Here is a 14,275-nt window from a genome sequence, read left to right on the forward strand (position 1 = left end):
AACTTGGTTATTGTGACTAATGCTGCAGTGAACCTGGGAGTCCAGACATCTCTTCAACCAACTGATTTCAAATCTTTTGGGTGAATGCCCAGAATTGGGATTACTCTCTTTCCATTCTTACAGGTTTCTGTGATTCTGGGCAGTCATCTTGGAAAGGAGGAAAGGATCGTTCTGCCACTGAGCTTGATGGAGGAGCTCAGCTCTGTCATAGGGGACAGTGCCAAGAGCTGGGCTTGGCCTTTTTGGAAGGGTTAAAGATTCAGAATGCGAACTAACAGTGAGAGGCTAGAGATTACTCTGATGGAAAAGGGTGGTATAGGTTACTCTCATATGATAAGCCACTCAGGAAGACTTGGAGGGTTTTATGGAATCATTAGCACAGAGCTCCCCTCTGGCCACAGAGCAGAGGAAGAAACAGCGGACCAGTTTATAAAGCTACAGAGCGGAAAATTTCTGTTGCTGTCCAAACTAAGTTTTTGGCTTTCTGTGAAGCTTGGAAAGACTTATACTGATGTTTTAATCACCTGTTTAGTGTTCTGAGGACTCTTGTCAGCGGCCTCACTGAGCTTGCTCCAGCAGGCAGTGGGGAACGGCTGGCTCTCGCCCCACGCTCTTCTTGTGAGCTGTTTCTTTCCCATGACCACCTCCAACACCCTGTAGCTCCCATTGGGCCACTTGGAGGGTATAAGCCAAACCTGTGAGCCCTATAGGAGACTGAGCACACTCTTTTGGGCTAACTCATCACCGGATCTAAAGTCAGGAAAGACCCCTTAATAAGAGCCTTGGTGCAAAGAGGTAAGAAGTCGTCTCAAGATTAGTCTGCCAGCAACACCTCTGTGATGGCACAGAGAAAGCAGGCTTGACTTCCAGGAGAATCACCATCAACACATTCTTTTTTTTTTTTTTTCAGTTGGAATCTTGTTCTGTAGCCCAGGCAGGAGTGTAATGGCACGATCTCAGCTCACTGCAACCTCTGCTTCCCAGGTTCAAGTCATTCTCCTGCCTCAGCCTCCCGAGTAGCTGGGACTACAGGCGCCCACCACCTCGCCCGGCTAATTTTTTGTATTTTTAGTAGAGACGGGGTTTCACCATGTTAGCCAGGATGGTCTTGATCTCCTGACCTCGTGATCCGCCCACCTCGGCCTCCCAAAGTGCTGGGATTACAGGCGTGAGCCACCGCGCCCGGCCACACCTGGCTAATTTTTGTATTTTTAGTACAGACAGGGTTTCACCATGTTGGCCAGGCAGGTCACGAATTCCTGATTTCAAGGGTTCCGTCTGCCTCAGCTTCCCAAATTGCTGGGATTACAAGCTTGAGCCACTGTGCCTGGCCACCATCCAGACATTCTAAAGCACTTGGGTATTTATTGTGAAAAGAAGTCCTCACAAGTGACAATGCATACTGAACAAATTCAGGGCAGGGAAAGTTCTAGAAAGAAAAACCCATGAGCATGCCAGAAGCTCTTTAAAGAGGTTAAGGGGGTTGAAAAAAAAAAAGGTTCAGGGTAGTGGCAGGTAGAGCAAGTTAGCATCTTACTTCCTCTGCAATTTTCATTGATCACGCTTTCTTGGTGGCCTAAATATCCCATTTTACTGGGAAAGCTGTGGTGTAGATGAAGTGGTGACAGATGGTTACTAGGAATTATGTTATTTCATTTGATTATCATGGTAATCCTGTGAGACAGGAAGAGGAAACTAAAGCTCAGAAAAAGCAAGTGATGAAGTGATGAAGCTGGGCTTTGAACCCAGATTTGTCTTACTCCAAAGTTTGTGCTCAGTTCATTATATTATAATATGGCCTCTTATGAAGGTAATGGCACTTTCACAAAGAGTATAGGGAAAGGTCTCTACTTCAAGTCATCTTTTTTTTTGGGAGACAAGGTCACACTCTGTTGCCCAGGCTGAGTGCAATGGTGTGATCTTGGCTCACTGCAGCCTCAACCTCCCAGGTTCAAGTGATCCTCCCACTTCAGCCTCCTGAACATCTAGGACTACAGGTATGCACCACCACACCCAGCTAATTTTTTTTTTTTTTTTTTTTTTTTGTAGAGATGGGGTCTCACCATGTTACCCAGGCTGCTCTCAAACTCCTGGACTCAAGCAATCCTCCCGCCTCGACCTCCCAAAGTGCTGGGATTACAGGCGTGAGCCACTGCACTCAGCCTACTTCAAGTCTTTCTCACTTAAAAAATATTACACTCAGCCGGGCGTGGTGGCTCACACCTGTAATCCCAGCACTTTGGGAGGCCAAGGTGGGTGGATCACCTGAGGTCAGGAGTTTGAGACCAGCCTGGCCAACATGGTGAAACCCAATCTCTACTAAAAATACAAAAATTAGCCGGGCGTGGTGGCAGGTGCCTGTAATCCCAGCTACCTGGGAGGCTAAGGCAGAATTGCTTGAACTTGGGAGGCGGAGAGTGCAGTGAGCCAAGACCGCGCCACTGCACTCCAGCCTGAGCAACAAGAGCAAAACTCTGTCTCAAAAATAAATAAATAAATAAATAAATAACACTTGCCCAGACTCAGCAGTAGCCTAAAGGCCCTCAGGACAGAAGAAACAGTTCTGACGAATTTGCCTTTAGAGGAACACAAATTGAATGGGTGCTTGGCTAAGCTACAGGCAAGAAAAGAAATACTGAAATTTAAAATTTCTCAGGATACCTGCCCTAAAAAGAGTTCTATCACTTAGATTCATTTCATTTCACTGGACATAATATGGGCAAAACCTCAGCTGAATACTTGATGAGCTGAATGAATATAGGAAACTAGTAACTGCCAGATGTTAAGTTTTAAGACCTATATGTGGGTAACCTCTGAAAGTTGTCTGCACCACAGCCTTGAACTTTTCTACTGAATGTAAAGAGTAAAGTCCATCATGAAGACAGGAAAATGGAAATCAAAGCTCCCTCCTGATACTTGGCACCCAAAGGCTCCACAAATCTGTCAATCCAAGTAACTTTTACTTTGCAAGCAACAGGGTGTGTTACTTATCTGGCAACGCTTGATCTTGGAGAAGGTATGAAGGAGGAGAAGAGAGAATAATAGTTTACTTCTCAGTGGAAAAACCAGGCTTAAGGAGGAGATACTGATTTCTGATTGAGTTCTCAGGGAGACCTTCTCTGCCATAGAATTTTCCCTTTCCACCCCATCACTTTTCTTCTTGTCTCTTTTCTTACTAAGGGAAGTTTCTTCAAACTGCTGTCTCTGGCTCAAAGTTAATTTCCCTTTGGCCAAAGCACTCTGCACATGCCATTGTTCCATGCCCTGTTATGCCAGAGTTCAAGCAGATAAGCCACCAACGTGCCTTTTAATAAAGGAAGGGAGGGGGGTCTCTCAAGGGAACTCTGCTTACTGGGGGAAAAGAGAGTCCTATAGCAGCAAAGGCACATACTACCATTCCTCGGTGACCTCAGAGGAGTCTATTTACAAAGGCTATAGTTAGAGAGGAAAGGGCAAGAAGGAAGGGAAAGAGAGGGAGACCATGACCAGAGAGGTCTTATGTCCCACAGGAATAACTCCGAGGACAAGGGAAAGGCTGTCCTGTCACAAGGGCAAAATTAACCAGACCCAGCCGATTATGAGAGAGGGAAGGAGGATGCTGGGAACATGAAGGGGGCAAAGCTTACAGGCCACTACATATATGGGGGAATGCAGGAGGAAAATGTTTCAAAGCTGATGACAAGGCAGACAGGAAACCTCCGTGTCCCTGCTGACAGGAAAGAAAGAGTGAAAGAAATTCTGGGATCTTCTCTCTAGGCAGGAATTTTTTTTTTTTTTTTGAGACAGAGTCTCGGTTTGTCGCCCAGGCTGGAATGCAATTGTGCGATCTCGGCTCACTGCAACCTCCGCCTCCCGGGTTCTAGCAATTCTCCTGCCTCAGTCTCCCAAGTAGCTGGGATTACAGGCATGTGCCACCACGCCTGGCTGAGTTTTGTATTTTTAGTAGAGACGTTTAGTATTTCAGTACTTAGTAGTTTAGTATTTTAGCCTGACATGTTGGTCATGCTAGTCTTGAACTCCTGACCTCAGGTGATCTGCCCACCTTGGCCTCCCAAAGTGCTGGGATTATAGGTGTGAGCCACTGTGCCCAGACTCTATGCAGGATTCCTAATAGGCATGTGAAGTTCCCTGTCTTCCCATGGGTGTGCTGACAGCTGGAAATCCTGCCCTTTGGGTCAGGCAGGGCAGGGATCTAGACCTCTCGGGAGTTCATGAAGAGGTTCACTAAGGACTGAAACCATGATCCCAAACACAAATGGGGACTGTCATTTCCTGTTGGGTTTCCATGCTGTAAAAAAGTGGGGGAGAAATGCCAGCTACGAAGTACTATGTCTTCTATGGAAAATGGAGTATGCAGTGTATCTGGCTCCTGGTTCTGACTTGTAAATCTAAGTGAGAACTAGTTGTTAGCTGCTAGAGGATTATAGTGTTAAACAGACATTCTACCACCCAACCTGCCAGCCTTTCTGCTCACTGTCTCTGGGCCTCTAGGTAGCTGATGACACAGTTGTCTTGAGCCTCCATAGGAAGGGCAGTCTTGGGCTGGGGCAGCTCCTCTGGGCACTAGTTCACTGCTCTGTGTTCTTAAACAGCTCTGATGGAACAAGCCATCTGTGAGGGTTATTTAACTTGGAGCTGGAAGAGGGTGAGGATGTGGAAAAAATAAACTGAACAGCCAATGGATGGGGCCAGAGAGAGAGAGAAGGCAGGTGGCATGTTCATGGGACTGCGTGCCAGGGCCAAGCGGGGTGGGACTGCAGAAAGGAATGGTGCCGAAAGGAGGCCAGCATGGGAGGGGCTGGAACACCCAGGACAGCAGAATTTTATTTCCAAAATGGTATTTTGTTGTTCTCCTTCAAGGGCACCCAAGTCCTCACTTTAGAGTTCTATTTCTGGGAGAATCTTGGAATAGTGTAACTAAGCACACCTGCCTCGCCTTCTGAAAAGCTACCTGAACCTTGCCCAATTTCTGAGCCTTAGCCTACAAGATAAATCTAACAGGTTTTTTTTTGTTTTGTTTTGTTTTTTACATCCAATGCCTCAAAATAATGGCAACAGCTAAGTGGGTAGAAAACGGAAATGAAGGATTACAGAGAATTTGCATGAATTACAGAAAACAGCTATAGAAACTACAGGATGATCCAGAAGGAGACATGGGAATCTGATGTGTGACTGAGTTGTAACTGGACCTCTTTGGAGTCTTCTTAGCCACTCTCCAATCCCCAGCGTCCACTATGAAAACACATATTGAAACTTTCATTTTTAAAAATCTTGCCAGGCGCAGTGACTCACGCCTGTAATCCCAGGCCTTTGAAAGGCCGAGGCGGGCGGGTAACTTGAGGTCAGGTGTTCGAGACCAGCCTGGCCAACATAGTGAAACCCTGTCTCTACTAAAAATACAAAAATTAACCAGGCCCACGCCTGCAAACCTGCAGGTGCACACCTGCAGTCCCAGCTACCCAGGAGGCTGAGGCAGAAGAATTGCTTGAATCTGGGAGGCAGAGGTTGTAGTGAGCCGAGATTGTGTCACTGCACTCCAGCCTGGGCCACAAAGCGAGACTCTGTCTCAGATAATAATAATAATAAAAAAATTCTGAGCCAGGTGTGGTGGCTCATCCCTTTAATTCCAGAACTTTGGGAGGCCAAGGTGGGTGGATCACCTGAGGGTTAGGAGTTTGAGAACAGCCTGGCCAATACAGCGAAGACCCGTCTCTGCTAAAAATATAAAAAAATTAGTCGCGCATGGTGGCGGGCGCCTGTAATCGCAGCTACTCGGGAGGCTGAGGTGGTAGAATCACTTGAATCCAGGAGTTGGAGGTTGCAGTGAGTTGAGGATTACACCACTGCACTCCAGCCTGGGCGACAGAGCAAAAAAACCTAGGCATTTTCACTTATTTTATCTCATTTAATCCTTACTAAAATCTTATGAAATAACTAATGTCATCCCCATTTTTCAGAGAGTAAACTCAACCCCAGAGACAATACATTAATTATCTGGCGTTTTCTCATGACTAGCACAGAGCATAATAAAGGCTATGACATCTATCTAGAACAGGAAGATGTATTTTTCTGCAGGTTGTCCTGGCAAAATAGCATTAGAGTTGACAGTATCTCATCTGATCCATTCCTGATTACCAAGTCTATGTAGTATATTCTCACAGGATTTGAAAAAGAGACCAAAAAGCTGCTGTTAGAATATATGTCTCTCTTTTTTTTTTTGAGATGGAGACTTGCTTTGTCACCCAGGCTGGAGTGCGGTGGCACAATCTTGGCTCACTCCAACCTCCACCTCCTGGGTTCAAGTGATTCTCGTGCCTCAGCCTCGTAAGTAGCTGTGATTATAGGCGCGTGCCACCACGCCTGGTTAATTTTTGTATTTTTAGTAGAGACAGGGTTTCGCCATGTTGGCCAGCCTGGTCTTGAATTGCTGGCCTCAAGTGATCCGCCTGCCTCAGCCTCTCAAAGTGCTGGGATTACAGGTGTGAGCCACCGTGCATGGCCTTTCTCATTCTTTATTAAATATTTTCAAGGCAGTAGATTAAGAATAGGATTAGAGACAGGAATCCAATAACTACGTGCTGCTTACTCTACTTTTGAAGAACACATATAGACACGCAAACCATTATAAACTACTTTGAAGTATAGTTTCAGTGCTTTATACTGACAAAACAGAGACAAAATTTCTGGACCAGCCTATACTAGAGAAACCTATATACACCCTAAACTTTAAAAAAATTGACAACACAAGGGCAGACGCAGTGGCTCACACCTGTAGTCGCAGCACTTTGGGAGGCCAAGGTGGGTGGATCACCTGAGCTCAGGAGTTCAAGACCAACATGGCAAAACTCTGTTTCTACTAAAAATACAAAAATTAGCCAGGCGTGGTGGTGCACGTCTGCAGTCCCAACTACTTGGGAGGCTGAGGCATGAGAATTGCTTGAACCCGGAGGCAGAGGTTGCAGTGAGCAGAGATTGCACTACTGCATTCCAGTATGGGCGACAGAGTGAGATTCCATCTCAAAAAAAAAAAAAAAAAAAAAAAAGACAACACAGAACTAAAAGCTGTCACTTAATTCTGTTACTTAAGCTAAAGTCACTCTTGCTGCTGACAAAGTACCAAAGGAGTTCAATGAGATATGGTGGCATCTCAGAATCAAGTACCAGGCCAAACTGAAGCCAAAGCTGCTTAGTAACGTGGAGTTCAGAAACATGGCACATGGTGAAAAAAAGCAATACAAAGGCCGAATTTTAAAAACAAAACCTTCCCACCTTTGATTTTTAGGCCCTGTTGCGAGTTTCTGGTATGTTCTTCAGAGATAGTTCTGCATTTACTGACATATGTGATTAACTACGAGCTCTCTCTATGCCTTTTATAGATACATTTATGTAAGTGGTGATATACTATGACACACGCACACGCACACACACGGTATTTTAAAGATAATCAACATCATTTGTGAAGCACATTTCATGCCAAATACTAAGGATCATCAACAATAAAGCACTCTGTGTTGGGGGGACTGATGGAAAGATCTGGCGGAAGCAGCAAAGGAAAGCAGACGGAAGAAAGACCCTGATGAGGTGCTCAAGTCCATCAGTCATCATCAAGTCCAACAGGCCTGGGAGAGGTCAGCAACAACAGTCTCCCCAGCCAAGCAGGGTCTCAAATGACAAAAAGTTGGGCAAAATAATGTGCAAAGTATATACATGTGCTCCAGTCTGCACGCTGCCCAGAAAGAGCTCCCACCCCAGAGGAATCAATATCAGGAGGGTCATCAACAAATTTGAAGGCCAGAAACAAAGAGTGCTATATATGTATTTACTGTGAAAATTAAGCGGCTCCAATTCCATTTCGATGTGTAGGCTATAGGTGTTACGGCAAGAGCTGCCTGGTACATCTGAAGGCCGCTACGCCCACCTTCAGTGCCAGTTTCCTTATCAGAGGAGCTCGTAGAGCCTCACAGAACACAAAGTAAGATATCTGAGGTGTTTCAGGCTGATCTCACAGTCTGAGTTCTAAATGTATTCTACTGAAATTCAATAAATATTTATTAAGCACATGCTATGGTGTGGCAGGCCCTATTCAAACCACCAGGAATACAGCAGTGAATAAAACAATGCTCCTGTTCCCATGGAACTTAAAACATTTTTCTGAGACTGAGAATCAAATAAGCAGACAGTAGTGGGAAGTACTGTGAAAAAAAGTTGGGTAAGGGAGACAGAGAGCGGCAGGGTGGGGAAGAGTATTGCTATTTTATATAAGATGGTGAATAGAAGACCCTAAGAAAGGTAATATTTGATCAGACTTGAAGGTGCAAGCCACAAAAAAGAGAGGTCCTTTCTTATCTCGCTCAAAGAGGTCCTCTGAGATCACAGGATCTCGCTGTTGCCCAGGCTGCAGTACAGTGGTGTGATCATAGCTCACTGCAGCCTCGACCTCCTGGGCTCAAGCGATCCTTCTACCTCAGCCTCCCAAGTAGCTGGGACCACAGGCGCCTGCCACCACGCCTGGCTAATTTTTTATAGAAACGGGGTCTCCCTATATTGCCCAGACTGGCCTTGAACTCCTAGGTTCAAGGGATCCTCCGGCCTTGGCCTCTTAAAGTGCTGGGATTACAGGCATGAGCTACTGTGCCTGGCCCGAAAGGTCCTTAGAGCGGGTTTCTTGGGTGGTGGCTGGAGCATCAAGGAGTTCCTTCTCTGATCGAAGGGCTTGTTAGCTACACAGTTTGAAGGAAGGAGAACAGGCTTTTCCAGCTCAGCCTGGTGAGAGGAGAGGCCTTTGAGAGTTTATGCAGCTTGCACACCCGCTCCATGCAGTTTCTGGAAAGTTTCCATCACAGATGAGAGTTTTACGTTGAATTTTAAGTTTGACCACAAATATTTAAACTTCCCTGGACCACAAATACAGTATCTTCCCTGTGGTTTATCTGGCAGCAAGTACATATTTACAAATCTCTATATGTCTGCCTGTTATTTAAATTTCTTACAGAAGTGCCAAGGTCTTTAGTTGTGATTTATCCCCTCCCCCTCCGTACTGGTAGGTATAGTCTTCATTAGGCCTAACTCTTGGGAAAAGGAGGTATCTTTACAATTGAAGCTTAGAAATCTTCCTGATTAAATTTCCTATTACCGCTTCCCTCTTAAAAAAAAAAAAGTCGGCCGGGCGCGGTGGCTCACGCCTGTAATCCCAGCACTTTGGGAGGCTGAGGCGGGTGGATCACGAGGTCAGGAGATCGAGACCATCATGGCTAACATGGTGAAACCCCGTCTCTACTAAAAATACAAAAAAAAAATTAGCCAGGCGTCGTGGCGGGCGTCTGGAGTCCCAGCTACTCGGGAGGCTGAGGCAGGAGAATGGCATGAACCCGGGAGGCGGAGGTTGCAGTGAGCCGAGATCGTGCCACTGCACTCCAGCCTGGGTGACTGAGCAAGACTCTGTCTCAAAAAAAATAAAATAAAAAATAAATAAATAAATAAATAAATAAATAAATAAATAAATAAATAAAAGGCAATGGTCTGTTCCAAGTTCTTGCATTTGAATTGAAATGTAAAAATTGAATTTTTTTGGTGCTTTTTTTTTTCCACTAGGGAATTGAGAACAAAACTTAAAGCTAAATAAATCTGCATACTTTAGCTATATTAAAAAGCAAAACAGCAAACAATAAAAGCCAGGTGTAATGAGCTCCAAACTTTTTTTTTTTTTTTTTTTTGAGACAGACTCTCACTCCGCCACCCAGGCTAGAGTGCAGTGGCGCAATCACAGCTCACTGCAACCTCTGCCTCCCAGGCTCAAGCAATCCCCCTGCCTCAGCCTCCTGAGTAGCTGGGACCACAGACATGCGTCACCATGCCTGACTAATTTTTGTATTTTTGGTAGAGATGGGGTTTCACCATGTTAACCAGGCTGGTCTTGACCTCCTGAGCTCAAGTGATCTACTGGCCTCAGCTTCCCAAAGTGCTGGGATTACAGGTGTGAGCCACTGTTCCCAGCCTTTTATTTTCTTTTTTAAGAGACAGAGTCTTGCTCTGTCACCCAGGCTGGAGTGCAGTGGCATGATCAAGGCTTACTGCAGCCTCCATCTCCCAGCCTCCCAGGCTCCAGTGATCCTCCCCGCGACTTCAGCCTCCTGATTAGTGAACAGCTAGCATTGCAGGCGTGTGCCACCATGCCTGGCCAATTTTTTTTTTTATTTTTTGTAGAGATAGGGCCTATTTGCCCAGATTGGACTCGAACTCCTGGGCTCAAGTGATCCACCCGCCTCGGCCTCACAGCGTGCTTGGGTAACAGGCATGAGCCACTATGCTGGGCCTAAGGCCCAATTTCTAAATGAATACTCATTTGCTTACCAATTCCTGAACATTATAACATGCACTAGGGTTACAAAGAATACAGCACACATCCCTGCTCTCCAGCTGGGTCTTGAACAAAGCCGGCTTGGGAAAGGGTGCTGGCTCCACGAGAGCACACAATTCTTAAATGGGTCTCTGGGTTATCAGGACTGCTTTCTCTTACACAGCTGCCAAGTGAGCTATATGGCATTCTTATCAAATGAAAGCAAACAGCTAGATCATCTAAAACCCATGGCCTCAAAACCATCACTCCTACTCCATTCTGGAGATCTTATTATTTTCACCTTTCCTTTCCTGGACCTTTGGGGTATGGTCCCTATTAATATCCAGCCTACAGGGTTGAGACCCAACACAGAAAGACTTAAGGAGCATCTTCATGAAATCACTAAATTATCTCCTCCTGAGTGTCACACGAGAGTGGTGGAACTAGTTATGAAGTAACAAACCCATGCATATAAACCCATGAAAGCACAATCTAAGTCCAATGCCTACCTTTATCAAATGAACAATGACCTTCCAAGTATTTCAATCTGGAAGGCTAGAAACTCATTTCTTAAAAACTAGCATTGAGGCCAGGCACGGTGGCTCACGCCTGTAATCTCAGCAGTTTGGGAGGCCGAGGCAGGCGGATCACCTGAGGTCAGGAGTTCAAGACCAGCCTGGCCAACATGGCGAAACCCCGTCTCTACTAAAAAAATACAAAAATTAGCTGGGCACGGTGGCGCATGCCTGTAATCCCAGCTACTTGGGAGGCTGAGGCAGGAGGATAGCTTGAACCCAGGAGGCAGAGGTTGCAGTGAGCCTAGATTGCGCCATTGCACTCCAGCCTGGGTGACAGAGTGGGACTCCATCCCAAAACAAAACAAAAAATACTCCCCAAAATGAAAACAAAACTAACATTGATTTGTTTAATCAGAATGACATTAAGCATATGCTTCTCTTCTATCCTTCCAGTTTCCCATTGAAATGACTAAAAATAAATAAATAAATAAAAATGAAGAAAGCATCCATCAGTACTAGGCAACCCCATACCAGAAACTTTGGGAAACTGTCTGCAAGTCTAACAGTGGGTGGAACTGGAGTGAGAAAAAGGACAACTGATGTTCAACCCTTTTCAGGCTGAGTAAGAATACAGATGAGACCTTAGCGGCAGTACCACATTAATACCCTTATCTTGGGGCAACTAAGACAAGAACCAAGGTGGGTTGTGATGCAGTTGGAAGGGCACAGGGGCCAGGCGCGGTGGCTCACACCTGTAATCCCAGCACTTTGGGGGGCCAAGGCGGGTGGATCACCTGAGCTCAGGAGTTTGAGACCATCCTGGCCAACATGGTGAAACCCCATCTCTACTAAAAATACAAAAATCAGTTGGGCGTGGTGGCAGGCGCCTGTAATCCCAGCTACTCAGGAGGCTGAGGCACAAGAATCTCTTCAATCCAGGAGGCGGAGGTTGTGGAGTCGAAATCGTGCCACTGCACTCCAGCCTGGGCAAAAATAAAATAAAATAAAATAAAATAAAATAAAATAAAATAAAATAAAAAAATGAAATGAAATGAAATAAAATAAAATAAAATAAAATAAAATAAAATAATTAAAAAAAAAGAAGGGCACAACTGGATCCTACCAGGGTTGATGGGAAACACAGCAGGTATTTGTGGCTGCTAACTGATAGCTGGTGTGGGTGGCCAGATGAGGCAGAAGGAAGACACAGCTGAGGAGGATGGGTTCTAATAAAGGCAAAAAACCCAGAATAACATTAGGTTGAGAAACCTAGTCTACTCTAGCAAACAGAGTGTTTAACACTGGCAGTATAAATCAAATGTTCCTCTTTTCCCTTTGTCTGCACCTGAAAATCTTAAGAGGCCCATCTAAACTCTCAATATGAACAAGTATAGACTGGCCCTAGTAAGGATGAAAAAAAAATCACCTAACATATAAAAAAGTATTGCAGTTCAACAGGATACCAATCTAAGGAATTGGTAAACCTCTTTCTAGAAGAGTCAATGTGAAAACAGGCACAAACTTCGGAAACTTTCAAACTAATATTTAAAAATTTAATAGTAATGGCACAAGCAGAGATAAATAGACCTTTGGGGAAGAAGATACAGTATAGAAATAGACCCAAACATATATAATCATCTGACTTATGACATGGCATCATTGCAGTTCAGTGGGGAAAACTGATCTTTCAATAAAATGAACCACAGACCCAAGTGTGAATGGTAAAATAATATAGTTTCAAGATCAAAATACAGAAGAATATCTTCCTTCCAATATGTTGCACTTGGAATAGGCAAACATTTCTCTTTTTTGCGGGGGAGGTGGGAAGTCAGGTTTTTGCTCTGTCCCCTAGGCTGGAGTACAGTGGCATGATCATAGTTTACTGTAGCCTCGAACTCCCGGGTCCAAGCAATCCTCCTGCTTCAGTAGCTAAGCGTGTACCACCATGCCAGGGTAATTATTTATTTAATTTTAGAGACAGGGTCTTGCTATATTGGCCAGGTTGGTCTTGAACTCATGGATGGAAGCAGTCCTCCCACCCTGGCCCCCCAAAGTGCAAGAATTACAGGTGTGAGTCACTGTGCCTGGCCACATTTCTTAAATAAGACACAAAAAGCACTCACTAACTTTTAATAAAAATATATCTATTTATTATTTCATTTATTTATTTTTGAGACAGGATCTCGCTGTGTTGCCCAGGCTAGAGTGCAGTGGCATGATCTTGGCTCACTGCACCCTCAACTGCCTCGGCCCAAGCAGTCTTCCCACTTCAGCCTCTTGAGTAGTTGGTACATATGGGTATGAGCCACCCTGCCCAGCTATTTTTTATTTTTTATTTTTTTTGTACAGGCAGGGTCTTGCTATGTTGCCCAGGCTGGTACTGAACTCCTGGCCTCAAGGGATCCTCCCGCCTCGGCCTTCCAAAGTGTTGAGATTACAGGCATGAGCCACTGTACCTGACCAAGAAAAAATTATTTTAACTAAGATTTGTGTTCATAAAAAGATACCATTAATACTGAAAAGATGGCTGGGCATGGTGGCTCACGCCTGTAATCCCAGCACTTTGGGAGGCTGAGGTGGGTGGGGTCAGGAGTTTGAGGTCAGGAGTTCCTTGAGGTCAGGAGTTTGAGACCAGCCTGGCCAACATGGTGAAACCCCGTCTCTACTAAAAATACAAAAATTAGCTGGGTGTGGTGGCGGGTACATGTGTAATCCCAGTTACTCAGGAGGCTGAGGCAGGAGAATCACTTGAACCCAGGAGGTAGAGGTTGCAGTGAGCTGAGATTGCGCCACTGCACTCCAGCCTGGGCGGCAGAGCGAGACTCTGCCTCAAAAAAATAAAAACCCTGAAAAGATGAACCACAGACTGCGAGAAGATATTTTCAATACTTCTATCCAACATAGGACTTATATTCAGAATACTGGAAAAAAAAAACACCCTATAAATCAGTAAGAAAAAAGACAAAGAATCCAAGAAAAACATGGGTAAAAATCAGGAACAGGCACTCCCCAGAAGAGGGTATTCAAATGGCCAATAGCAGAAGAAAAGGCACTCAATATCATTACTCATCAGGGAAATGCAAATTAAAATCACAATGAGAACAACAACAAAAAAAGAAAGCAAAACAAAACAAAAATCACAATGAAATACTTCTAGACAGTCACCAGTATGGCTTTTAAATTTTTTTTTTTTTTTGAGACAGGGTCTCTCTCTGTCGCCCAGTGTGTAGTGCAGTAGCGTGAACATGGCTCACTGCAGCCTTGACCTCCTGGGCTCAAGTGATCCTTTCACCTCAGCCTCCCAAGTAGCTGGGACCACAGATATACGTGGTCCTAGCAAGGATGCCTGCTCTCACCATTTCCTTTCAACTCACTAGTGGAGATCTCAGACACTGTATTAAGGCAAGAAAAAAAACGCTGA

The 14,275-nt window shown here is 44.9% G+C and overlaps 1 protein-coding gene across 12 annotated transcripts in view; it reads right to left on the reverse strand.

Annotated features, from left to right (window-relative positions):
* SMG6 (SMG6 nonsense mediated mRNA decay factor) overlaps positions 1 to 14,275 on the reverse strand; it is a 243,947-nt gene that overhangs the window by 43,224 nt on the left and 186,448 nt on the right. The window lies entirely within an intron of this gene.

Source organism: Homo sapiens, chromosome 17 (genome assembly GCF_000001405.40).
Source record: "Homo sapiens chromosome 17, GRCh38.p14 Primary Assembly".
Taxonomy (NCBI): domain Eukaryota; kingdom Metazoa; phylum Chordata; class Mammalia; order Primates; family Hominidae; genus Homo; species Homo sapiens.